General features: G+C 55.1%; 1 protein-coding gene across 4 annotated transcripts in view, besides 8 other annotated features; it reads left to right on the forward strand.

Moving 5' to 3' along the window:
• Positions 1-24,312, forward strand: part of SEPTIN9 (septin 9) — a 219,098-nt gene that overhangs the window by 16,999 nt on the left and 177,787 nt on the right. For 2 of the 4 annotated variants that reach the window (NM_001113491.2, NM_001113492.2), the window contains exon 2: positions 8,644-8,700. The exons of 1 other annotated variant lie outside the window; for it this stretch is intronic. In NM_001113491.2, the coding sequence (NP_001106963.1) occupies positions 8,644-8,700 (57 nt within the window). Of the gene's footprint in view, positions 1-8,643; positions 8,701-21,020; positions 21,852-24,312 lie in introns of those variants that run through there. One more of the 4 variants, NM_006640.5, reaches the window with a different exon arrangement.
• Positions 5,225-6,112: an enhancer, noted in NCBI's record as "H3K4me1 hESC enhancer chr17:75299804-75300691 (GRCh37/hg19 assembly coordinates)". NCBI's record gives its function as "activates a minimal SCP1, AML or CMV promoter by ChIP-STARR-seq in naive H9 embryonic stem cells {active_cell/tissue: H9 hESC(naive)}" and the evidence as "EXISTENCE:reporter gene assay evidence [ECO:0000049][PMID:30033119]".
• Positions 8,550-8,694: an enhancer, noted in NCBI's record as "145 bp enhancer 212 fragment used in the MPRA reporter construct; PK_construct_1709". NCBI's record gives its function as "activates an SV40 promoter by MPRA in HepG2 cells {active_cell/tissue: HepG2}" and the evidence as "EXISTENCE:reporter gene assay evidence [ECO:0000049][PMID:23512712]".
• Positions 8,615-8,628: a transcriptional cis regulatory region, noted in NCBI's record as "HNF4 motif; enhancer activity is reduced when this motif is scrambled". NCBI's record gives its function as "necessary for full MPRA enhancer 212 activity {active_cell/tissue: HepG2}" and the evidence as "EXISTENCE:site-directed mutagenesis evidence [ECO:0005528][PMID:23512712]".
• Positions 10,139-10,683: an enhancer, noted in NCBI's record as "H3K4me1 hESC enhancer chr17:75304718-75305262 (GRCh37/hg19 assembly coordinates)". NCBI's record gives its function as "activates a minimal SCP1, AML or CMV promoter by ChIP-STARR-seq in naive H9 embryonic stem cells {active_cell/tissue: H9 hESC(naive)}" and the evidence as "EXISTENCE:reporter gene assay evidence [ECO:0000049][PMID:30033119]".
• Positions 11,564-12,065: an enhancer, noted in NCBI's record as "H3K4me1 hESC enhancer chr17:75306143-75306644 (GRCh37/hg19 assembly coordinates)". NCBI's record gives its function as "activates a minimal SCP1, AML or CMV promoter by ChIP-STARR-seq in primed H9 embryonic stem cells {active_cell/tissue: H9 hESC(primed)}" and the evidence as "EXISTENCE:reporter gene assay evidence [ECO:0000049][PMID:30033119]".
• Positions 15,856-16,691: an enhancer, noted in NCBI's record as "H3K27ac-H3K4me1 hESC enhancer chr17:75310435-75311270 (GRCh37/hg19 assembly coordinates)". NCBI's record gives its function as "activates a minimal SCP1, AML or CMV promoter by ChIP-STARR-seq in primed H9 embryonic stem cells {active_cell/tissue: H9 hESC(primed)}" and the evidence as "EXISTENCE:reporter gene assay evidence [ECO:0000049][PMID:30033119]".
• Positions 18,364-19,199: an enhancer, noted in NCBI's record as "H3K4me1 hESC enhancer chr17:75312943-75313778 (GRCh37/hg19 assembly coordinates)". NCBI's record gives its function as "activates a minimal SCP1, AML or CMV promoter by ChIP-STARR-seq in primed H9 embryonic stem cells {active_cell/tissue: H9 hESC(primed)}" and the evidence as "EXISTENCE:reporter gene assay evidence [ECO:0000049][PMID:30033119]".
• Positions 22,142-22,354: a silencer, noted in NCBI's record as "fragment chr17:75316721-75316933 (GRCh37/hg19 assembly coordinates)". NCBI's record gives its function as "represses an EF-1alpha promoter that drives an FKBP-Casp9 reporter gene in an ReSE screen in K562 erythroleukemia cells {active_cell/tissue: K562}" and the evidence as "EXISTENCE:reporter gene assay evidence [ECO:0000049][PMID:32094911]".

Genomic DNA, 24,312 nt, shown 5'->3' on the forward strand with positions numbered 1-24,312 from the left:
AGGGAGCTCAGCTGCAGTGATGAACTGCGGCTCAGCCTTGTTTATGGGAAAACCCTACATGGGAGATGGGACGGTTTCCTGTTGGTTCTCTCGGCCTCAGGTTGCTTTCACAAGTGCAGGGATTCTCACCTGGGTGTGTGAATGGGGCTCAGGATGCCCCAAGGGTATGTGGAGATGGGGGTCAGCTGTCTTCTCTGATGCCTCTGAACCTCCTCCCCCTGCCTTTCTGCATCTCATTGCTTCCTGGCCTCTCTCACTTTGGGTGCTTTGGAACAACATGCAATCCAATACACAGGCTGACTTTATTATTTTGTTTTGTTTTATTTTATTTTATTTTGGAAACAAAGGCTCTGTCATTCAGCCTGGAGTGCAGCGGTGCAATTGCAACTCACTGCAGCCTTGAACTTCTGGGCTCAAGTGATTCTCTCGCCTCAGCCTCTCAAAGTGCTGGGATTACAGGCATGAGCTGCTGTGCCTGGCCTAGGCTGGCTTTAAAAGCTCCTCACTCTCTCTGCATCCTGATGATACCTACCTCCTGGAGCAGGCTCCCAGCCATTGGCTTCGGATACTTTGTAGCTATTATTGGCCAGTTGTGGCATGTGAAGCTGAGGCTCAGGAGAAGGGCAGTCCTGTCCAAGGCCACACGGCTCAGTGCTAACACTCAGACTTCAGTGTTTTTATCTCCCTCCTGGTCGCTTCCACCCTTAGTGCATCTCTGGAGGCCCAAGGGAGCTAAAGGCCAGGCTTTGGTCAGCTAAGAATTTAAAAAAGCTGTCTCTGTGCTCCTCTGTCAATCCATCACTCCATTATCTCCCCCGACAATGAATTCAGTTTGAATTTCAGATAAACAAGGATTAATTTTTAGTATAAGCATATCCCACAACAGACTTGGGATATACTTATGCCTAAAAATGATTCATTGTTTGCTGGCCTTAGTAGCTCATGCCTACAATCCCAGTGCTTTGGGAGGCTACAGTTGGAGAATTGCTTGAGTCCAGGAGTTCAAGGTTACAGTGAGCCATGATCATGCCACTGAGCTCCAGCTTGGGTGAAGCAGCAAGATCCTTATCTCTTCAAAAAATTGTTGATTGTTTATCTGAAATCCAGGTTTAACTGAGCATCCTGTATTTTATATGAGAACCCTATATAGGTGAGACCCAGAGTCCCAATGCCCACTGGTAAGCCTTTGCAGGGAGGCTCTGTGGGTCCTTGGCTGGCACTGATGCCCTGTGATGAGCAGGGCCATCTGGCAAGGTGGACGCCTGCTGCCCATGCAGGCAGAGCAAGGCCCTGGGCAGGTATGAGCTGATCTCACCTTCCCCAGCCTGGGAGCCAGATACTGTTGGCAGCTTGCCGTCAAGAGAGGGGCTGGTCACCAAGAGAGGGGCGGCCTCCATGGGCCTTCTTTGGCTTTTGGCTCTCCCCCAGCCCTCCTCCTACCCCAAACAGAGGCCAACGGCACCGCACCAGAACCAGTGTGCTGCCTCCTTTGGTTGGCATTTTGTAGTTGGGTAGACTGTTTCCTTCTCACAGGAGCTGGTGGTGCCCCTTCCGCTTCACAGGGAGGATGGCTGAGACCCCTGACCTTGACACAGGGTGCTGTTCTTTTTTTGTTTTGAGACAGAGTCTTGGTCTTTTCACCCAGGTTGGAGTGCAGTGGCATGATGTTGGCTCACTGCAGCCTCCACCTCCTGGGTTCTAGCAATTCTTCTGCCTCAGCCTCCTGAGTAGCTGAGATTACAGGCGTGCACCACCACTGAGAACAATGCCTTCTACAGTGTTTATTCTCCTGTAGGAGCAAGTTCCTAAGGCAAGGAGGTTGCTCCCCTCATGGATGAATAAATTGACTTTGATCCACAGCCCCACGTGTCAGCCTTGAGGGTGGGGAAAGGTTGTTCTGTGTCTAGGCAGGGGGTGGGGGCAAGGCCAGGAGGGCCTGGTGCCCAGTGTACCTCTTCAGGACACAACTCCAGGTAGCAGAGGCCAAGGACAGAGGGGAGGAGAAGAGGGAGGTGGCCATTATCTCCTTATCTCAGCTTCCTTTGGAGATAAGCTTGAGTATTTTAGTTGTCCACTAAGTCTGGAGATAAGTCTGGAATTTAAACCTTTGACTTTGATCCAGCCCTTCACAGCTCCTGTGAGCAAACTGAGCCTCAGAAAAAGGGAGTGAAGCCTGTGCATCCTGGACGCCCCCACCCCAGGCTCAAACCGCCCCCACCCCAGGCTCAAACCGCCCCCATCCCAGCTCAAACCGCCCCCATCCCAGGCTCAAAGCGCCCCCATCCCAGCTCAAAGCGCCCCCATCCCAGGCTCAAAGTGCCCCCATCCCAGGCTCAAAGCGCCCCCACCCCAGGCTCAAACCGCCCCCATCCCAGCTCAAACCGCCCCCATCCCAGCTCAAACCACCCCCAACACAGGCTCAAACCACCCTCAACCCAGGCTCAAAGCACCCCCACCCCAGGCTCAAAGCATCCCCACCCCAGGCTCAAAGTGCCCGCAACCCAGGCTTAAAGCGCCCCCACCCCAGCTCAAACCGCCCTATCCCAGGCTCAAACCGCTCCCACCCCAGGCTCAAACCACCCCCATCCTAGGCTCAAACCGCCCCCACCCCAGGCTCAAAGTGGGAAGGAGCCACAGGGAAACAAACGGGGGAGGCACGGATGACCAGGATGAGGGTCTCCATGACCCACCTTTCCCCAGGGGCTATCTCAAGAGCTTTTTAAACTTTTATTATTTTTTAATAGAGATGGGGTCTTGCTGTGTTGCCCAGGCTGATCTCCAACTCCTAGCCTCAAGCCATCCTCCCACCTCAGCCTCCCAAACTGCTGAGGTTACAGGTGTGAGCCACTGCACCTGGCCTCTCTCAGGAGTTTCAAGAAAAAAAATGGGAATAGATTTGTGTGTGTGTGTGTGTGTGTGTGTGTGTGTGTGTGTGTGTGTGTTTTGAGAAAGAGTTTCGCTCTGTCACCCAGGCTGGAGTGCAATGGCACGATCTCGGCTCACTGCAACCTCCGCCTCTCGGGCTCAAGTGCTTCTTCTGCCTCAGCTTCCTGAGTAGCTGGGATTACAAACATGCAGGCTGATTTTGTATTTTCATTAGAGACGGGGTTTCACCATGTTGGTCAGGCTGATCTCGAACTCCGGACCTCAGATGATTTGCCTGCCTTGGCCTCTCAAAGTGCTGGGATTACAGGCCTGAGCCACCGTGCCCGGCCAGGAATAGATTCTTTTCTGTAGATGACTTCTGTCATTATTGAAAATGGATGTTTATGCACAATTGAATTGTCATAACGCCTCATCCTAAAAAGCTCCTTTTTGAGAAAATGTGACTTTTGATAGAGGAGAGACTGTCCAGGCCTCATTCATTGTCAGCACAAAGGCAGAGCAGGGGTGTGGCGGTGTCACCCTCCTCTGAGACAGCCCCATCCCTGCTCTGCCCAGGGGTTCAGAAGTCTGGTCTATTCGAGCCCACAGAGGGGTTTGGAGTGGCTGTCTTACATCACAGGTGGGGTCTGTAAGGATCTGAAATGACCTTTGAGAAGGCGGGTGTGGTGGGTGCATTTCAATCATTAAAGTAACAACAATGATACATCAAATAGTGTCTGCTCAGATTCTGAGTGCCTGTTTAAACATTTCCATCTTGTGACTTGCCAGATTCTAGCATAACAACCCAGGTAAAAGAAAAAATAGCTGGGCGTGGTGGCTTGTGCCTGTAATCCCAGCGTGAGGCCAAGGCAGGAGGATTGCTTGAGACCAGGAGTTTGAGACCAGCCTGGGCCACCTGAGACCCCACCTCTGAAAATAAACAAACCAATAAAAGACCTTCATGCTCTATGTCTTTCTTATATCTAGGTTCCCCAAATTATATGCATTGGGGAAAGTCCATTAAGAGAAGCCCCTGGCCGGGCGTGGTGGCTCACGTCTGTAATCCCAGCACTTTGGGAGGCCAAGGTGGGAGGATCACAAGGTCAGGAGTTCGAGACCAGCCTGGCCAACATGGTGAAACCCCATCTCTACTAAAAATACAAAAATTAGCCGGGCGTGGTAGTGCATGCTTGTAATCCCAGCTACGCAGGAGGTTGAGGCAGGAGAATCACTTGAACCTGGGAGGTAGAGGTTGCAGTGAGCCAAGTTGGTGCCACTGCACTCCAGCCTGGGCGACAGAAAAAGACTCCATCTCTAAATAAATAAATAAAGGGAGAGAAGCCTCTGGGCTCCTAGATACATGGGTCAGTGTCCACCCCTGCAAAGCTGCTGTGCCCAAAGAGGGGCTGTACTTGGTGGAATTGGGGCAAAAGAGCAGGGAGGGCACTGGGCAGTTGACCTGGTCTCCACTACTGGAAAGGGGCTGTGCTGCTGGTGCCCTGAGCTGGTTCCACAAGGAAGACACTGCACAGGGCGCCCTAAGTTTGCTCTTTCTGCCTAGGCTCACCCTTTCCTCTCCAGGACCAGGGAGCCCCGCTCGTCTCCTGTCTTCGGCATCTGCTCTCTGGCTTGTGAGCACTGCATTTCTTTCTGCTTGGAACGCCGGCCCATGGTGGGTCCCCGGACTCCTGCCTTCTGCTGTCTTTTGCCATATCTCGTCAAAGTGTGTTTTATTTATTTATTGTTATTATTTTTTGAAACAGAGTCTTGCTCTGTCGCCCAGGCTGGAGTGCAATGGTGTGATCTCGGCTCACTGCAACCTCCGTCTCCTGGGTTCAAGCGATTCTCCTGCCTTGGCCTCCCGAGTAGCTGGGATTACAGGCGAATGCCACCACGCCCGGCTAATTTTTGTATTTTTAGTAGAGATGGGGTTTCCCTATGTTGGTCAGGCTGGTCTCGAACTGACCTCGGGTGACTGGCCCACGTCAGCCTCCCAAATTGCTGGGATTACAGGCGTGAGTCACCATGCCTGGCCAACTATTATAATATTGATATTATAATAATATCACAGCCAGATAACGGTGACTAACGCCTGTAATCCGAACACTTTGGGAGGCTGAGGCAGGCAGATCACCTGAGGTCAGTTCGAGACCAGCCTGGCCAACGTGGTGAAACCCTGTCTCTACCGAATATACAAAAATTAGCCGGAGCGTGATGGCAGGTGCCTGTAATCTCAGCTACTTGGGAGGCGGAGGTTGCGGTGAACTGAGATCGTGCCACTGCAGTCCAACCTGGGTGACAGAGCAAGACTCCATCTCAAAAGTAGTAATAATAATAATAATAATAATAATATCACTTATTGAGTTTTAATTTTGTGCCAGGCACTGTGCTAGTACTTGCGCCATGTGACCTCATTGACTCGGAACAACCTATGAGTAAGCACCATCTCTGTCCCCAAGGAAGCTGAGACTCAGGAAATGGAAGTCATCTCCCAGGGCCCACAGCAAGGGCCTGGCGAGGTCTGCGTTCAAATTCTGATCATCTGACTCCAGGCTTTCCTGCCTCCTTTGCCTCCCAAAAACTCAAATACTTTCATCTGGGATGACTCCAGACAGCTAGATTTCAATTGTCTTCTCTCCTTCTGAGTATGTTTTATTTTAAAATCACATAAAGATAACTCACTTCTCAACTGGAGCCACGGAATCGTTAGATGTCTTGGAGACTTTTCTAGCTACCTCTTTGCTGGACTCAGACACAGGCCTGAATAATTAGGTCCAAGGAGCTGAACTGGAGCCGCTCGTGGCCAGAGGTCCCTTCCTGGGAACAGCAGTGGCGGCAGCGGCTGCGCTGAGCCTGGCAATTTGTTCAAGAGCAGGGGATGCTCAGGCTGCGCTCGCCCCCTTCTTATGAACGGTTTGCTTTGCGTCTTCTCTGTGCCAAGGGCTGCCAGGCACCAGATGCCCATTTTAGGAAATCAGAAAAATAAACAGTGTAAATAAAACAAAAACTCCACCCAAGAAATCTGAGACAGATGCTGTTTTCCCCACCGTTTCTCCACCCCCATGCTGGGTTTGGAGAGAGTGGGCCAGCATGTTTCCTACGGATAAGAGGCCCTGGGGTATTTAACCTGGATGGAACCTCTTCTATTTTCCTTTTGCCTGGTGCTAGGGGGCAGAAGGCAGGGGTGGTGTCCATCTGGCCCAGGGAGGAGGATAGGGCAGCCTTTGTCGCCGGCATCCCCTGCAGAGATGTCTCAGCCAGAAGTGACTCCATCCTCAGGAACGTGTGTCCTGTTCTTTGCTGGGCGGCCCCTCCTTACCCCCCATTGTTTCCACAGTGGGGTGTGCTAGATTTATGGGCAGAGTTCTGGTTCACTCTCAGCCCCGGACAGCAGAATGTCCCAGTAGTGCACTGATGGTGTGTGCGTGGGGATGTGTGGAACAGGGGATAGTGACCCCGTGTGCGTTATATGCAGTGCGGCTTCCAGTCGGGTGTGTGAAGGGGGTGCTCATGGCCATCGTGGAAGTGAGCTCAGCTGGGGCTGGAGGGTCCAGGCTCACTGTATGCCACTCAGCAGCCTTGGGAGTGGGGTTCATCCTCCTCCCCGCTCCTCTCCCCTCCTGGTCCTGGGCAGCCCACCGGAGCTGCACTCTGGGCCATCTCTCCTGGTCTTAAGGAGGCTGTCATTTCTGGGAGGCAGATGCTGGCCCTTCCATCCTTGCTTCCTGGAGATCTGCGCCGAGGTCTGCCTTTCTGTCTGGAGGGACTGGCCAGGAACCCCTGGGTTTTCCTGGTGGGGTTTTTGTTGCTTAGCAGTGAGCAGAGTGAGTGGGCACCAAGAGGAGGATGCTGGGTGAGGTCACGGACATGGCTGGGGCAGGCTGGGGGTGCTGGAGGTGAATTCCGCAGCTGTGCGACCTTGGGCAGTTTGCCCAGCCCTGGGCCTCGCTTCCTCCTCTATGAAATGGGGCGGGAGCACCTGCCTGCTGGGGTTGTGGGTTGGGTGAATCGGAGCTAAGGTACAGCTCACAGCCTGCCGTCAGACCCTCGCAAGCAGAAGTGGGTGTCCCTGCTCAGCGTCCTCCGGTCCCTCCTTCAAGGCTCAGCTTTGTCCTCATCTCCTCCATGAAGCCTCCCTGGTTACTCCAGGAGTCACGACCCACACCCTCTTTGGAGCCTTGTGTCACACGCATTTCTCACGGTGTTGCTTTCCCTGGAGGATGGGTTCAACTAAAATTGGGGCCCATCTGGGGGTTCCCTCCAGCACCAGAGAAGCTCAGGCTTAGTAGAGATGGGTACCCTGTCAATACTAGTTCCGCGAAGGATACACTGTGCTCATTCTGCTGCCAGTTGCTGAGTCTGGTGTCCTGTAGTTATGGAACATGTGTACAGGCCTGGGCTGCTGGACACGAAGGCCAGATGGGCAGTTCACTCTGCCTCCGCTCTGAGCCTTTAGAAACAAGCTGGCTGCACCCATTTCCATCTGGTCACAGTTTAGGAGTGGGGTTGTGGAATGGATGGAAGGAAGGATGAGTGGGTGGGTGGGGGGGTGGGTGGGTGGGTGGATGGATGGATGGATGATGGGTGGATGGGTTGATGGATGGGTGGATTAGGTGGACAGGTGAATGGATTGGTGGGTGGGTGGGTGGGTGAAGGGCTGAATAGGTGGGTTGGGTGGATGGGTGGATGGATGTGTGGAGGGGTGGTGGGGTGGATGGGGTCCATGGGTGAATGGATGGATGGATGGGTGAATGGAGTAAATGAGTGGGTGGATGGATGGATGGATGCTGCAAGAGCCTTTCTGGAGGGTTCCAGGGAGGAACTGGCATCTTTGACCAGCAGCCAGCATGGTGATCAGATACAGGGAGGTGTCTGGGTCTGCCTGATCCCTTATCTCACTGTTGGTGGGACTGGGCTGGTTATGTGTCCCTGAAGCTCTCTGAAGGGTGGCTGTATGGCATTGCCCAGGGGACATCCCCAGAGTGCCGTGCTCTACAGCAATAGGGTGGCCGCCTGTGCTCCCAGGGCCGCTCCTCCTGGCAGCCTTTCGGGTTTGCTTGGCTTAGCACCTCAGCAAATCTCCTCGAGTTAGGACTTGCCTGCCATGAGCCTCTCCAACAAGCAGCCCCAGGCCAAGGCCTGTGTGTGGGCAGAGGGAGCGCATGCCGCGGGAGGCTGCATTAATCTGAGGTTCTGTTTTTGTTCCCTCCTGGGGCAAAAGGTAAAAATAGCCTGTCCCACTCCATCCCCAAATCCAGCCCGGCTGCACCCAGCCCTGGGAGTGAAGGGGGCTGGGTCAGGACTGCCCGTGAGTTGTAGACCCTGGTGTAGGGAAACCCTGATTCATAAGACGGGTGGACATGGAGGAAGGAGGAGACTCCGTCCAGCAGAGACACGCTTGGGTGCAGCCCAGCTTGGAGTCTGATGGACGTGGGCTCACCTGTGTGCAACTCTCATTCACTGTGTGGCCACAGGGAAGTGACACTCTGTGGAGACTCAGATTCCTTATCTGCAAAACAGGGGTAGTAGGGCTTGGGGGAGGATGTGTGTGAAGGTTTGGCCCAGGGCCCCTCCAGCAGCCAGACAGCAGTGGCTGTCATCCCTCCAGCGTCCAGGGTTACCTGGGGGAGTAGGGCCTCTGTCCCCAGATGGGCCCCGTTTCTGGCTCTGGAACTCACAGCAGGAGCAAAGGCGAGGACATTCCTGGTGTTAATCATCCACCCGGAGGGAGAGCGCCAGTGGCCTTGTGTGACCTTTGCCCTTTGTCTCTGTCTTTAGGAGGCACGCGGACCTCCAGTGGCCGGCTCCGGAGGCTTGGTGACTCCAGTGGCCCAGGTAGGTGGCTCGCTCCGCTCTGGCCCCACCCAGCTCATGGGTGTGTTTGTGCTGGGGTCCCTTCATTCTGGTCTGGGACCTGCCTCCCCACCTGGCTTCCCTGGATGAGTGGGGCCACTTGCCCATTTCCCAGGGAGACGCAGTCTTTGACGGCTTTGGACTCAGGTGGCTTCCAGGCCTGTCGACGCTGCCCTGCTGGAGATGATCCTTGTGGGGGCAGGGGCAGCCACCCCCAGGCTCAGGGAGCAAGCCCGTGTGTGCGGGACAGAGGAGAGAACAGGAGATAGATAGGGCTGGATGATTTGGTTTGAGATGCTGAGGGGACAGATGTGCCATGGACAGGTGGCTTTGGCCGTGAGCCTCTCGGTGTTGGTTCAGTATCTGTGGGCTCCCTGCAACCTTGCAGGATGGAAGATGCTCCAGGATAGAGCAGATACGTCCGGTGTTATCTAGGAGGAAATAAGTGGGCCTCTGGCAGTGGTCACTGTGCTACTCCTTGTGCTTTTTCCATGTGTTTGGAAATTTTCCACACTAACCAGTAGGGAAGGGAAACAGATGCACCCATCAGAGCTCTGGGGCTGGCCGTCCAGGACACGAGTTACAGCTTATAGGCTTGAAGGGACTCTACCAACACTGGGTGCAGCCTGGGCAAGGGAGTGGGACAGAGAGGTCAGGGCTCTGCCTCCAGCCCTTGCCCCCCAGGGCTGAGTCTGCGCGTCATCTTCTCCCCACTGGGTGTCCCTGATCTCCCCTGCCTGACCCCAGTGTGGCCATGCTAGTGCCTCTGTTTCTGGGAGCCTACGTTGTTCTTGGCTGTCACTTCCAGCGGCCAGGCTGGGACAGGTGCCCATCTAGTGGCTTTTCTATTTGGAGAGGATGATGGGTCACAGCAATGAATGGACTTACCTCCCCTAGGAGACGAGGAGCTCTGAGAAGAGCAGAGATGGCGTGGTCACCTGTGCATATGTGCTGGGGGCCAACTGGGTGCCAGACCCCTGGCTGCCATCATGGTGGCAGACAGGCAGGGACTGTGCCTTCATGAATTAGCCATTCTAGAGGAGACAAAGTTACCAAAGGACACGGACCCGGAGTCAAATCCACACAAATAGAGCGCCTGTGGACCAGGGCTGCCTTCAGAACAAGGTGAGACAGCCGTCCTGCCAGGACAAGGCGCCTACGGGGGCAAGGGCATGTGCCCATCTGGAGCCGCCACCTCCATGCTCTAGACCAGCTCCGTCTAATAGAACCTTCTGTGATGGTGGGTCTGTTCTATACATCTGCACTCCGCCATCCTGTATGGTAGCCGCTTAGCCGCCTGGGTCTATTGCACACTCAAAGTATAAATGTTTACGTTTACTTTATTCACTCATTTACTTGCATAGAATTATTTATTTATTTTAAATGGATTTCCACTTATATCTACGTGTGGCTAGTGGCTATGAAACTGAACAGTTCCAGACCACACTGGCACCTGAGACCTCAGAATTCTAGACCCAAAGCCTGCTTCTGATCCTGAGCTTGCTTCTGTGGGGACAGCACAGACGCCTCCTAAGTCTGCCTTCCAGAGGTGGATGCAGTGCCCGTGGACTGTGCACCACCAGGCCTGGACAGTGGAGAGGGTGGCTTTTTACAGGGAGTGGGAGTGGAGGGGATGCCGTGTCCACATTGAGTGCATGTGAGGCCCCTTGCAGTACAGGATGGGACTGTATGTGGGAAGAGGGGGGTGATGCTCTGGCTGGAGGCCCCTGGGCAGCTGCATGATTCAGCGCTGTGGTTAAGAGGGGCTCCGCCCATCGCAGTCATGTTGGGCACTAACCACTGGACAGCCCAGCCGCTGCTGTGTTTCTGGGGAGCTTTTCTCCGGCTCCGCATCTGATCTGCCTCTCCATCTCCTTCCCTCTCATTGGCCAGCTTCTGGTGGAATGGGTGGGGAGGGTCCCCCAGTTCTTGTGGGGGTTGCATCTTGGGAACCTGGCACCCTGGGCTGCATGGACACAGCCTCCCCCGGCGGTTGCTTCCCTCTGCTCAGACTGGCTGGTTCTGTGCTGTCAGCACTTGGCAGCCACGATCACAGCTCAGCTTGGAAGCCTAAGGCATAATTTGCTGAATCCCAAAGCTGCAAGCTGGTGATCTGGGTTTGCGTGGGACTGCCTGCTGACACACGGGGTCCTCCCTCTGTGGGCCTCTGTGGGCTCTGGCCCGAGACACCCTTTCCTCATCTTCTTGGCTTCTTTCTTTCTCCCTGCCTCCCTTTTGCTAAGACCCTGGTCCAGGCAGGAGTTCATTCCTAGACGCCCCAGCATCTCCGGCCTCCCCATTTGACACTCCCCAGACGACTGTCTGCCATCCCATCCTCCCAGCCCAGCTTCTCTGTAGATCCACATCTGGCCAATCTCCTATGTCTGGGACTCTTGCCCTCCCCAGAAGGACGAAGGCTCTTCTCGAGGTTGTGTTTGGGACTGGGCCAGGGATGACATTTCTGGCAAAAGCTTAAATGACACCATGATCAACGCTTTGGTCAGCTCACACACTTTCTTTCCTTTTAAAAAAAAAATGGAATTCTTAGAGCTACAAAACAAAAATGTAAAGAATAAGGTAATAAAACACCTGTGTACTCACCATCCCGCTTAAGAAGTGAGACATTGCAGGTGTAGCCGCAGCCCTGGGTGACCTTCTCCATCCTAGCCCCACTCCTGCTGCGGTGCCCGCCCCTCTGGATTGGGATCTGGCCCCGGGCAGGCACATCTGTGCTGGGCAGTGGTGTGTCTGAGAAGCCTAGGTCTCCTTTTTTTTTTTTTTGAGATAGAGTCTCGCTCTATCGCCCAGGCTGGAGTGCAGTGGCACCATCTCGGCTCACTGCAACCTCTGCCTCCTGGGTTCAAGCGATTCTTCTGCCTCAGCCTCCTCAGTAGCCAGGATTACAGGCACCCGCCACCATGTCTGGCTAATTTTTTTTGTATTTTTAGTAGACACAGGGTTTCACCATGTTGGTCAGGCTGGTCTCATACCCCTGACCTCAGGTGATCCACCTGCCTTGGCCTCCCAAAGTGCTGGGATTATAGGTGTGAGCCACCGCATCCGGCCTGGTCTCCTCTTGCATACGGTCATCAGCATCGTGTGACTGAGCAGCCTAGGTCTGTCTCCTCTTGAATGCCGTCATCAGCATCACATCCTTGGTGCCTCACTGGAGTCAGTGGCTGCCCTGCCTGTGCCCACAACGTGACGGCGTGGAGACTTATCCGTGTAGATCCACGAAGCCTTGGTTCACTTATTTTGGCAGCTAGCGAGTGTTCCTCTGTGTGGGGAGGCAGAGTTTGCCCGTCCCGTGGCCCACTGGTGACATCGCCGAAGGTCTTCTCTGTTACTAGTGCTGCCGGGAACGTGTGTTTCCCCAGGTGGATTTGGCTGGGCTGTGGAGATGCGCTTCTCAGCCCTTCTAGATGTTACCACCACGCCCTCCCGAGTGGCCTTCTGGTAGGCTCTCCCATGTTCGCTCATTTTCTGTGCCTCAGGCAGCCGCCTCTCTGACTGAGCGTCCAGCGGACTTTTGCCCTGTTTCCCACGGTGCACGGAGCATTTCATCTCAGTGGTGCCTGAGCTTCCCTCCCTCTGGCCCTCAGACCCCGGCTGGGATCCTTGGAGCCAACTCCTCTGCCTGACATCCCGTGTCGCTAGGTCCTGCTCTTCCATCTTCCAATACCTCTGGGGTGTGTGGCCTTTTCCCCAGTGCCCCCATCATCCCTTCTGTCCTAGGTTGAACCGTGTCCCCCACAAACTCATGTCCACCAAAAACCTCAGAATGTGACCTGGGAGTTGGAGATGGGGTCTTTGCAGATGTAAGTAGTTAAGGATCTTGAGATGAGGTCATTCTGGATTAGGGTGGGCCCTAAATCCAACAACTGGTGTCCTTAAAAGAAGCAGAGAGGCCACAGACACACCGGGGAGAGCCACGTGAAGGCAGGAGCAGATGATGGAGTGACGCAGCCCCAGGCCAGGGAGCGTCTGGGAAGAGGCAAGGAAGGACCCCCCCCCCACCCCACCCCAGAGCCTCCCTAGGGAGTGTGGCCTTGCTGACACCTTGATTTTGGACCTCTGGCCTCCAGCATGGGAGAGAACCCGCTTCCATTTTTTCAAGCCCCACAGCTGTGGTCCATTATGGCAGCCACAGGACACTGATGCACCTCCCACCTGGCCGCTGTGGATGGACGACCCCGCCCGCAGGAAGTCTCCCTCAAGCACTGCAGGTGTCTCTGCCCTCACAGGGGACGCCTGCACAAGTAGGTGTGAAAAAAGGGCCCTGTGGGGGCAAGGCCTGGGCTGGTGCTCGCTGCCTCCCTTCATCCTATGCTAGTTCCCATGCCTCTTCCGGCAGGAGTGCCTGGCTCCACCTGGTGAATCAGAGCCAAACTCTCCTGACAATTGGCTGTCACTTATTTAACTGCCACCATCCCCAGGAGACAGAAAATGCCAGAAGGGTGGGGCCTGTGCAGTGCCTCCTCGCTATTTCCCCAGGGCACCGTGCCACGTTGCCTCAATGCACAGAGTAGCTGCTCAAAGTGTGTCGGACGAACAGGTGCCCCATGCCCAGCCATGCAGACAAAAGTGTGCCACGTGGAGGGAGCTGGTCGTGGAAGAGACCACCAGCATCTTGGCTGCCCGAGGACCTTGCCCCTGGGCTCTTGCAGGCACCCCTAGTTCATTACTTCCTCTCTCACCCATAGCTACCCACTCTTCCTCTATTTCTCTGATATCAGCCTTGCCACCCACCCAGGTTTGCAAGCAGGAAATCTCAGAGTTGACCTTGACCTCTGCCTCCCCAGCACCCCCAGGTCTCAACAGGCTGCCAAGATCTCATCAACTCGCCCTCTGCATACTGACCCTTGGACAGGCTGCCCCGGTCACGGTCATGTCTTGGTTGGGCCTCCATCATCCCTCCTTGGACCAGCAGGTGCCATCCTCCCCACCCCTGCCCTGCTGTGGCTCCTTCCCCTCCACGGCCAACATTTAGAGGACGATTACCACTTCCCTCCCTGTGTGCTGGGGACCGGGTGATAGGATCCCTCCACCCGATCATTTCCATTAGACCTGGGCCGGGTCTTCTTACTCATAGAGCCCTTAGTTTCCGCCCCCAAAGCCTCGAGGGTGGATTCGTGCTGCCGCCCAGCCTGGCCCTGATACCGCTTTCCAGCCTGGAGCCCCCTGCTTCTGCGCTCCTGGCTCTGAGTGCTCGGGCCCCCCCTGGATGGGTTGCCACTTGTCCTCTGGAAAGCAGGGCTTCCATGCTCCTGGACCTCCTAGCTGACTCAGTGACTTTGGGCCATCTTGTCACACCCCTTCTATCAGCTTGGCCTTGGTTATTTCTGTGTCCTCCATAGCCTCGGACCAGAGCCACGGCGGGATGCTTTCCTGGTGCGTGGCAGGCAGTCAGGAAATATTGCTGGACTGACCTTGATAGGAGATGCTTGGGAGAATTGCCCAAAAAACTAGCTTAAAATGCAAATATTGGCCTTCTTTTGCGTTGGCTAAAGAGTAGCATTTCTCCGTTTGCCTCCCGGGTAAGAAATTGATGGCGAATGCAATGTCTCTAGGGAGGAGAAGAAGGTGACAAAAAGGGTCTGTATAACGGGGCACACGCTAGGCATTTGTGACTATTTAAGTTTAAATTATAACATAAATGCGAAACTCTTTGCCTTGGTAGCCCTTCCACATTGCAAGCGTTCACTGCCACATGTGGCTGCCATATTGACTACGGCAGATACAGAACATTGACATCATTGCGGAGAGTTCTATGGGGGGGCGCTGGTTTAGATCATCTTCACGTTGGATCCACAAATTCATTGTTTATCCAGTGAACGGTTACTGGGCACCTACTGAGCAAGCAGGATGAAAGACACCCGCTCTCGGGGGAGTCTTCCGTTGGCTGCAGAGAAGCTTAAACTCAGGGGACCTGGGGCAAACTCTGCAAGGGCCCTTGGCCTCTGCACCCCCAGACCTCCCTCGCTCTGCAGGGGCAGTCGGGGGCCCCCTCTAGGAATGGAGCGCCAGCTCCAGCTCCTGTCAGGCTACAGCCCAGATGGTTGGCTGAGCACGAGCATGTGAGAGTGGAATTGGGCCCAACCGGGCTGCTTCTCCCCGTTGTCTTGGTTTCCTTCCACGCTGACCTGGAAGGACTCCTAAAGCAACAGGCCTGCCCAGGCGGTTTGCACCAGTAAACCCTGCAGCGGCCCCAAGGGCAGAGATAGCTGGATTGTATTTATTTAGGAACAGCCAAAGTCTGAGGCACAATAAAAAGTGGAGAAAGATTCCAGAGAGGAATGCAGCTGGCCTCAGCCTGGGAATCCGTCTTGCTTGGGAGGCTGTAGGCGGGCCAGGCTGGGGCCAGCCTGGAGGGTCTTGGCTGGCTCTGCTGGCAGGTACAGTAGCAGGGTCAGCAGGAGGGAGTCCAGGACGGAGCTCCTTCATTTTTAATTCAGGGAAGCAAACTTCAGTGGTTGAGTCTGAGGATGAGCAGGAAATGAATGGAAAAGTCTTTTTTTTTTCTTTTTTCTTTCTAGGCAGGGTCTTTCTCTGTCCCCCAGGCTGGAGTGCAGTGGCACAATTATAGCTCACTGCAGCCTCAACCTGCCAGGCTCAAGGGATCCTCCTGCCTTAGCCTCCTAAGTAGCTGGGACTACAGTTGTGCGCCACCATGACTGGCTAATTCTTAAAAGAAATGTTTTCAGGCTAGGCATGGTGACCCATGCCTGTAATCCCAGTACTTTTGGAGCCGAGGTGGGAGGATCACTTGAGCTCAGGTGCTCCAGACCAGCCTGGGCAACATGACGAGACCCCGTCTTGACTAAAAATACAAAAAGTTAGCTGGGCGTGGTGGTACAGCCCTGTAGTTCCAGCTACCCGGGAAGCTGAGGCTGCAGTGAGTTGTGATCACGTCACTGTCCTCCAGCCTGGGCAAAGGGAGTAAGGCCCTGTTTCAAAAAAAAAAATTTTTTTTTTTTTTGAGGTGGAGTCTTGCTCTGTTGCCCAGGCTGGAGTGCAGTGGCATGATCTTGGCTCACTGCAATCTCTGCCTCCCAGGTTCAAGTGATTCTCCTGCCTCAGCCTCCCAAGTAGCTGGGATTACAGGCATGAGCCACTGTGCCTGGACTTTTTTTTTTTTTTTTTTTTTTTGTAGAGATGGGATTTCTCTATGTTGCCCAGGCTGGTCTTGAACTCTTGGCCTCAAGTGATCCTCCCACTTTGGCCTCCCAAAGTGTTGGAATTACAGGTGTGAGCCACCACACCCAGCAGGAAAAGTCACTTTTTAAAGCGAGAGGTTGTGCGTCCTCTATAGCTTGGCGCTCATCAGCATGGAGGATTTACTGGAACGTGTGTTAGGTGAGGGGACATGGAAGATGGCAGCAAATCCGAGCCCAGAGCATCAGAAAGCATGCTTTCAGCCAAAGATGCGTTCTCTCCACCTCCGCGCAGCACCCTTCCCCAGTGTGTACTCCTGGAGCAAGGTGGGGCCGATCCTACGAAGACCCTTTCCCGAAGGCCCCTGCTGCCCACATCAGTGTCACCTGGACCGCCTGCTCCCTTTTCTGGATGGCTGGACCAGCCCCAGGGCCTCCTGGCCTGGTGTGGGGAGCACAGTCCACCCTGGGGAATGCCTGGTATGTGTCCCCTCCCCACTGGGTACCAGGGGATGAAGCTGTGCTTCGTGGAAGGGGACAGAGGCGCTGGTGCCCAGGATGGTGCACCTGGGGCGGCTGAACTGGACCTGGCTCCTACTGGGCCCCTGTGGAGCCCAGATTGTTGTGAGAAGGGGTGGGGAAAGGCAGGTGATCCGCACCTTTCACTTTTGTTTCACATGGGAACAGGGGCTTATCCTGCACACATATTCAGTTTGGAGTATGAATTTCCATGAAGAGGAAAATCTCTATTAGGCTCTGATGTCAGGATTGTCCGTGAGGGCCGGGCCGTGTTCTGGGGCAAGGACAGGAGTGGAGGGGGCAACCAGGGAAGGCTTCCTAATGGAGGAGGCATTTGATAGCATCTTGAAAAAGAAGCAGTTCCTAGGCCAAGCCAGAGACTGAAGAATGACCACCTAACTTCTTTTTTTTTTTTTTGAGATGGAATCTCGCGCTGTCGCCCAGGCTGGAGTGCAGTGGCGTGATCTAGGCTCACTGCAACCTCCACCTCCCAGGTTCAAGCAATTCTCCTGCCTCAGCCTTCTGAATAGCTGGGATTACAGGCATGCGCCACCATGCCCAGCTAATTTTTGTATTTTTAGTAGAGACGGGGTTTCACCATGTTGGTCAGGCTGGTCTGGAACCCCTGACCTTGTGATCCACCTGCCTCGGCCTCCCAAAGTGCTGGGATTACAGGCATGAGCCACTGCACCCGGCCACGACCACCTAACTTCTTTCTACAAGATGCCCCCTGGCTGACGCAAAGCAGGTTGAGTGAGTGTGACACTTCCTTCCTGTCTGTGGGTTCCGGCCTTTCCAGAGCCCGGCCAGTGCTATTGGAGACAAAGTGGCCTTCGCTCTTCCTTCCCGCCCTGCCAGGCCCAGCCTGTGCCGCTGAGCCCCACTTTGCAATTAAGAGGAGCTGTGAACCAGTGATGCTGATGTCGCAGAAAAGTGGCCAGGGGTCTATGGGGGGTGAAGGACAGGGATGCCGCCCTGAGAACTGTCTGGAAGGGGCTTTTGGGTAACAGTGCCCACTCCAGGGTGTGGGCAGGCTGGGGTGGCTGGGAGCTGGGCTCATAGGCTGGCACAACCAGAGTTTCCCAAAGCCGTGGGCCTGAGGGCCCTGCCTTCCTGGGACAGCAACCTTTGGTCCAATTTGGGAAAAGGTGGGTTAAACCAAGCCCGGCTCCCTCACTGTAGGATTACTCAGTGCGTTTAGTATGCAAATGTGCCTCTGAATCTAAGACAGGACCACAGAAACCTCTTCAGTGTTCCTCTGGAGGGAGGGACCGCGGGGGATCCACCGCAGGGGCCTGGGTCTGCACTGGCCTGGTGAAGTGCCCCCTTAGTGCTTACACCATGCGCGGTGAGAGGTTGGCCCTCGCCTCCCCCACCCTCTGCTGGCCTTACCTCACCACCTCTGCACTCGCCTCCCAGCCGGCTCATGACTAACTCCTGCCTCTTCAGAGCCAATCGGTGCTGCCAGGTTTTCCATTTCAAGTGATCCCCCGCCTGGGCCAAAATGTTTGGATTTTCAGGCACGGAGGGGAGATGGACCTCAGGCCAAACCATGCTGGGTAAAACTGAGGGTCAAGGCTGTGCTCAGCAAGTGCTCCAGCCCTGGCCGTCAAACCCATAGTGTGCACAGCGTGCAGGAGGTGGCTGGGTGAATGAACTCAGTCATAGCCCGGCCCCTCACTCGGGGCTGTTCCCAAGTTCCCACCGCCAGCCAGGCTGGGTCAGAGCCTCGTGGGGCCTTCCTGGGCTTCCCTGCCCCACAGCAGGAGTTCGTATGGAGAGTCTCGAGTGAGGTTAATGGGTTTTCTTCCTCTTCTTTTTTTTTTTTTTTAATTTGAGACAGGGTCTCACTCTTTTTACCCAGCCAGGGTGCAGTAGTGCAATTATAGCTCACAGCAGCCTCGAACTCCTGGCTTCAAGCAATCCTTCCGCCGCAGCCTCCCAAAGTGCTGAGATTACAGGCACGTGCCACCTTGCCCAGCTGGGGTTTCTGCTTTTTACTTTTTCTCTTGTTTCTAAACTCAATACAAAGAAAGATATTACATTTATAATCAGAAAAACCAACAAGGAATATTATTTCAAAATTGGAAAAGGGATTAAAGAAACAAACCAAGAAACCTCTGCGATTCCTGCCCATCGGAGTCAGTGGTTGTTAGTGGTTGGCTTAACACAATGTTTTAGGAAGAAATAGAATAACAGAAAGCAACTCCAGTGAGCTGAGCCCTGGCTCCGTCTGTGGCGCTGCATCAGTTTCCTGCAGCTGCTGTAACGAGTGGCCACAAGCTGGCTGGGTCACAACAACGCCCAGCCATCCTCTCACAGCTCTGCAGGCCACACATCCGAGATCAGGGTCACCAGGCTGAAATCAGGGTGTCCACTGGGCATAGCCCTCTGGAGGCTCTAGGGCAGGGGTTCCCAGCCCCGTGTGTCCTATTAGGAACTGGCCTGCACAGCAGGAGGTGAGTGACTGGCAAGCGAGCGAAGCTTCATCTGTATTTACAGTCACTCCCCATTGCTCGCATTACTGCCCAAGCTCTGCCTCCTGTCTGATCAGCCATGGCATTGGATTCTTATAGGAGAGTGAACCGTATTGTGAACGGCACATGTGAGGGATCTAGGTTGCGTGCTTCTTATGAGAATCTGATGCCTGATGATCTGTCACCGTCTCCCATCACCACCAGATGGGACCGTCTGGTTGCAGGAAAATAAGCTCAGGGCTCCAACTGATTCTACATTATGGTGAGTTGTATAATTATCTCATTATATATTATAATAATAATAGAAATAAAGTGCACAATCAATACAACGTGCTTGTGGCCGGGTGCAGTGGCTCACACCTGTAATCCCAGAGTGAAACTCTGTCTCAAAAAATAAAAAATAAAGGCCAGGCACAGTGGCTTATGCCTGTAATCCCAGCACTTTGGGAGGCCAAGGCTGGCGGATCACGAGGTCAGGAGTTCAAGATCAGCCTGGCCAATATGGTGAAACCCCGTTTCTACTAAAAATACAAAAATTAGCCGGACACGGTGGCAGGCGTCTGTAGTCCCAGCTTCTTGGGAGGCTGAGGCAGAAGAATTGCTTGAACCCAGGTGGCGGAGGTTGCAGTGAACTGAGATAGTGCCACTGTACTCCAGCCTGGGTGGCAGAGCGAGACTCTGTCTCAATAAAATAAAATAAAATAAAATAATAAATATAATACACTTGAATCATCTCAAAACCATCTCCCCACTCCCTGGTCTGTGGAAAAATTGTCTTCCCTGAAACCGATCCCAGGTGCCAAAAAGGTTGGGGGCCACTGCCTTCATCGCCTGCCCCTTTGAGCCTCTGGTGGCTGTGGGTGTCCCTTGGCTTGTGGCTGCATGGCCCTTACCTTCAACACCAGCATCTACAGATCTCTCCGGGCCCCATCTCCACTTGGCCATCCCTGTCTGTGTCAAATCTCCCTCTGCCCCCGTCTTGTATGAGCACCGAGACTGCCTTTAGGGACCACCTAGACCATCCAGGGTGCTCTCGCCACAGCAAGATCTGCAACTGAATCACAGATGCAAAAACTCTTGTTCCAAACAAGGTCCCATTTGCAGGTCTAGGGATTAGGACATGCTATCCCTGGGGCCATTATTCAGCCTTCTCTCGTGACTATGATCCCTCCCTTCCTCCCCAGCCTCCCACCTCGGCTGAGATGCTGTCCCCACCTCCCTCACTGTCTGGCTGCCTGTGGGGCTGTCCTCCAGGCTCTTTGGGAGGAGGTGGTTGCTTGATGTCTCCCAGAAGGCTGGGAATGGTCCTCCCCACCCCCCAGGAAGATGTCCTTTCTGCCAAGGAGATTGCATTTGGGGTCCTATCCCAGGCAGAGAGCGGACGGGACTGTGGCCTGAAGTGGCACTTCAGGGCCTTTGGCTCTGTCATCTAGCCGAGGGCTGTGCATGGGCCTCACCTGGTCACAGGTAACTCACCTGGCTCTGTGGGGCAGGGATTGTAAACTCAGAGGCCTGCGGGGTGTGTCGAGGTAGAGGGGTGCAAATATTGTAAATTTGTTGGGGGCCTTGGGGAGCAGCACAGACTGAAAAGTGTTTTGTCTGAAGAGCAGAACTGTCTTATACCAGCCCTGTGCGGCCAGGCAGGAAGGCTTCCGTGGTGCGGCCACGCGTCCTCCCTTTCTCAACAGAAGCTGACAGTCTGGAGTTTTCAGAGAGATTGCCTGAGTTCTCAGCCTTGGCACAAACACACATTCTCTTTAAACAGGCTTGGGCCAACAGAACCAGCCTCCGTGTCTCGGGTTTGAATGAACCCTTGAGGTGAAGCTTAAAGACAGAGAGGATGCCCCTGATTCCCACCCCAGGGACCCACATTGTAAACCCCCACCTGCTCTGCTGAGCCCTTGGCCTCAGCATGGACCCTGACCATGTGCTGGTGGGGACCCCCCAGGTAAGTAAGCAGCCTCTGAGGACCCCGGATGAACAGTGGGGAACAGCACTGATCCCCCAGTGGGGCCCCGAGTTCCCGGAGAGGAAGACTCGCTCCCTCCCAGGGGACGGCTAGAGACTCACTGACTCATGCGTGTGTGGTAGGAATCTTCCAGGAAGTCCCCGTCCCGTTCGCCCTCTCTGCCTGGGCGGGGACGGCAACTGCCTCTGTCACTGCAGACTAATGGGACGGAGGGGGGTGACTTCTCAGGGTTCCTCCTGGGCAGGTGCTCCGGAACCTTTTCTCAGCACGCTGGCCTGGGGCACGGCCGTTCCTCCTGCCCAGCCACGTTGGGGTACAGGGTGAAGAAGGGCTGGGGCCAGCCCAGGACAGAGGAAGGCGAGGCAGGCACGCAGGAACTGGGCTTTTTAAACCCTTAAGCCCAAGGAAATCGTAGCATCGCGGGACAGGGAAAATGAAAGACTTTGGAAGTCGTCAGGAATTTGACTCTGTGAGTTGGTTTCCAAGAGTCTAAGTTAAGCATCTCCAAGTGGATATTAAAAAGGAGCAGCAAGCCTCGGGGCGGCGGGGGCTGGAGGAGGTGGAGAGAGGAGGCTGCCGGAAGCCGCACTCGGGACCTCTGCAGCCACCGACCAGACCGGGCGGCCGGGACTCTGGGACTCTCGCAGGCAGACCCGGTGGTCTGCCGGACTCCTCGGGGCCCACTTCGGGCCCTCTCTCCTGCCTCCTATTTTTGGATTTCTCTCCTTTGCTCCCTTTTTCCTCCCGTTTTGAAGAGACAATGCTACTTCAGTTTGGAGCACAAACATATGATCAGCACATGGAAATGTGGTAATTCGGATGCATTCGTGATTGCAACAGATTGAAGAAATTAGACCAGACAAAGAGTGTTTTTAGAGGAGGAGGAGGAGGAGGAGGAGGCTGAGAGAGGGAGGGCGACGGGGGTGAGAAAGGGGAGGCCGCCTCTGAGCGGGACGCCGGGACTCCCGCCGCTGCTAAATATATCCGTAGGAATGGAGAGGGACCGGATCTCAGGTACGCAGACAGCCCCCTCCCCATCGGCCGCCCCCCACTGCCCTGGACTCGGGGCTTTATTTATGCCTGGGGGAATAAGCATGCAAAGGGCGCTTTTGCTCATTTTTCACAGAAATATTTCTTTTCTTTTTGACGGTTCCAAGCTCGTGGGATGAACTCCGTCTCAGAAGCTAAGCTCTCCTGAGTCTGGCTTTTATTTAAACTCGGCTCTCCTCTCTCCTGGCTACTTCCCTTTCATTTTCCAGTGTGCCATTCTTGCATGTCATGGCCACTGTCAATGCTGAGGCTGTTGGCGCCGAAACCTTGGGAGGGTGTGGGGGACCTGCCCCCCTGGCTCGGGTCTGGGGCGGCGGCGCTTGGACCTGGCTGGTGGTTGGTTTGTCCACTGTGTGGTTTGTTTTTTGCTTCCAGCCAAAGTCTGTCTTCAAGGCTGCCTCGGTCTCCTACCTAAAATAGCATTTCTGTGCCTTCCTGGCAGTTGATTATAGAGGGGGAAGCTCCCGGCGCTCAGAGGAGCCTGGCGTGTGTGTGCACGTGTGTGTGCATGTGTGTGCGTGTGTCCATTCACGCTGGCAGCCCCCTTGCCGCAGGCACAGACCCATCAGGGCGTGAACAGGCAAATGAAGAGAAAGGGGGCTCCCCTGCCTTTAGTTCACCCCAGCTTTCCAGGCCCTCCCTCCCAGGCCCAGCCTCCTTGGTCCCTTCACTCACATGCGGTGCCGTGGCTGCCATCTCACGTGGCCAGCGCCGTCATCGGTAATTAGCAGTGATGACAGTTTCTGCCGCTCATGCCGCCCTCTGAGCCCAGCGCTGGGAGACATGGGGTGGCTGAGCCAAGCTCCAGGCTTTGGGTATTCTGAAGTGACCTACGGGCCATGGAGCGGGAGGTCGCTAAGAGTGTCAACCCCTACGTGCCTTGGGCCCTGGTCTGTTGGTTGCCACTATGTGTGTGTTGGGGGGTCCCTGAGAGGCCTGAGAGAGGGAGGCCCATCTCGGTGGCTCCTCTCTAGGACGTGTGGTCCCCTCCACCACTGCTCCCAGGGCCACATCTTTTTTTTTTTTTTTCTTTGAGACGGAGTCTGGCTCTGTTGCCCAGGCTGGAGTGCAGTGGCGCGATCTCAGCTCACTGCAAGCTCCGCCTCCCTAGTTCATGCCATTCTCCTGCCTCAGCCTCCCAAGCAGCTGGGACTATAGGCGCCCGCCATATTTTTTTGTATTTTTAGTAGAGATGGGGTTTCACCGTGTCAACCAGGATGGTCTCGATCTCCTGATCTCGTGATCCGCCCGCCTCAGCCTCCCAAAGTGCTGGGATTACAGGCGTGAGCCACGGCGCCCGGCCTCAGGGCCACATCTTGATTGTCACGTTGGGACTGGTGGAGCGGGTGTGTGTTGTGCCGCTGAGCACACCCAGTCGGGCACAGCAGGCGGACCTCAGGAGGGGGCCAGGGGAGACGGCAGAAGGCTTGGGTGGCAGTGAAACTGCATCTTATCTGTTTGAGCTCGGGGGCTCAGGCCCGCTGGGACGGGTGGGTGTGGAGCCCAGCGTCCTGCTCTCCGCCCAGCAGGAGCCGCAGGGCAGGGAGCGCTGAGAGGGACCTTCGTCAGGCTTGCACAGTGGAGCCGTCCTCGGAGTGACCACCCCACCAGGCAGCCTGGGCAGACCACAGTGGGTCCCCTGCCTCCTGGGCCACCAGCCCCAGGAGGACGTCACTCCACCCGCCTGGCTGGCAGGGGCCTCGGGGAGCCTCGGGTTCGGCCTTCACTTTATAGATGATCTAGCCGAGGCCCAGATGGGTGACCAGCAGGGGATCTGAGAGCTGAGCAGAGAGGCGTGGGTTTGGGGGTGGTGCTCCCTGGGGAGCTGGAAGTGATGGCACCCTCCCAGGCTCACAAAACACGGGCTTTTCATGAACTGAACAAAACACTCTTTGAAAGCAGCCAGTGCTGTGCCCCAGAGACCACTCTGATCCCTGCTGCCCTTGGCTGAGGACAGCACAGCCAGGGATGAAGCGGGGACCTCCCCTCGGGCTGTGCCTTGATGAAAGATGCTTTCTACAAAATCCCATTCGGATGTGTTTTCATGTAAGAAAACGTACATTTTTAGAAACTCAGTTGTAAACTGGCTGCCTTCCGAATGAACACGACAGTCCCGGAGCTGTTTCCCTTAATGAGGTTCTCGTCCTGGGCAAACTTTAGCGCTGGTCTTTAATTGTCACTGAACTCCCGCACAGTCCCTGGGGAAGTGACTTCCTTCCTGTCCCTGCTGGGTGGCCTTGAGCAAGCCACTTGGCAGCTCTGGGCCGCAGTTCCGTCATCTGCAAGGTGAGGGGTGGGAGCGGCACGGCCCCTAGGCAGCGCCCCCACCTCCTGCGGGTTTCTGCGCGTGTCCTGAGTTTTGTGGGCGCCTCTTCCCTCACTGAGGGGCTCTTCTTCTCTGCAGGGCATGGCTCACGCCGCGTTG

The sequence above is a fragment of the Homo sapiens genome, chromosome 17 (genome assembly GCF_000001405.40).
Source record: "Homo sapiens chromosome 17, GRCh38.p14 Primary Assembly".
NCBI classification, from domain to species: Eukaryota; Metazoa; Chordata; class Mammalia; order Primates; family Hominidae; genus Homo; species Homo sapiens.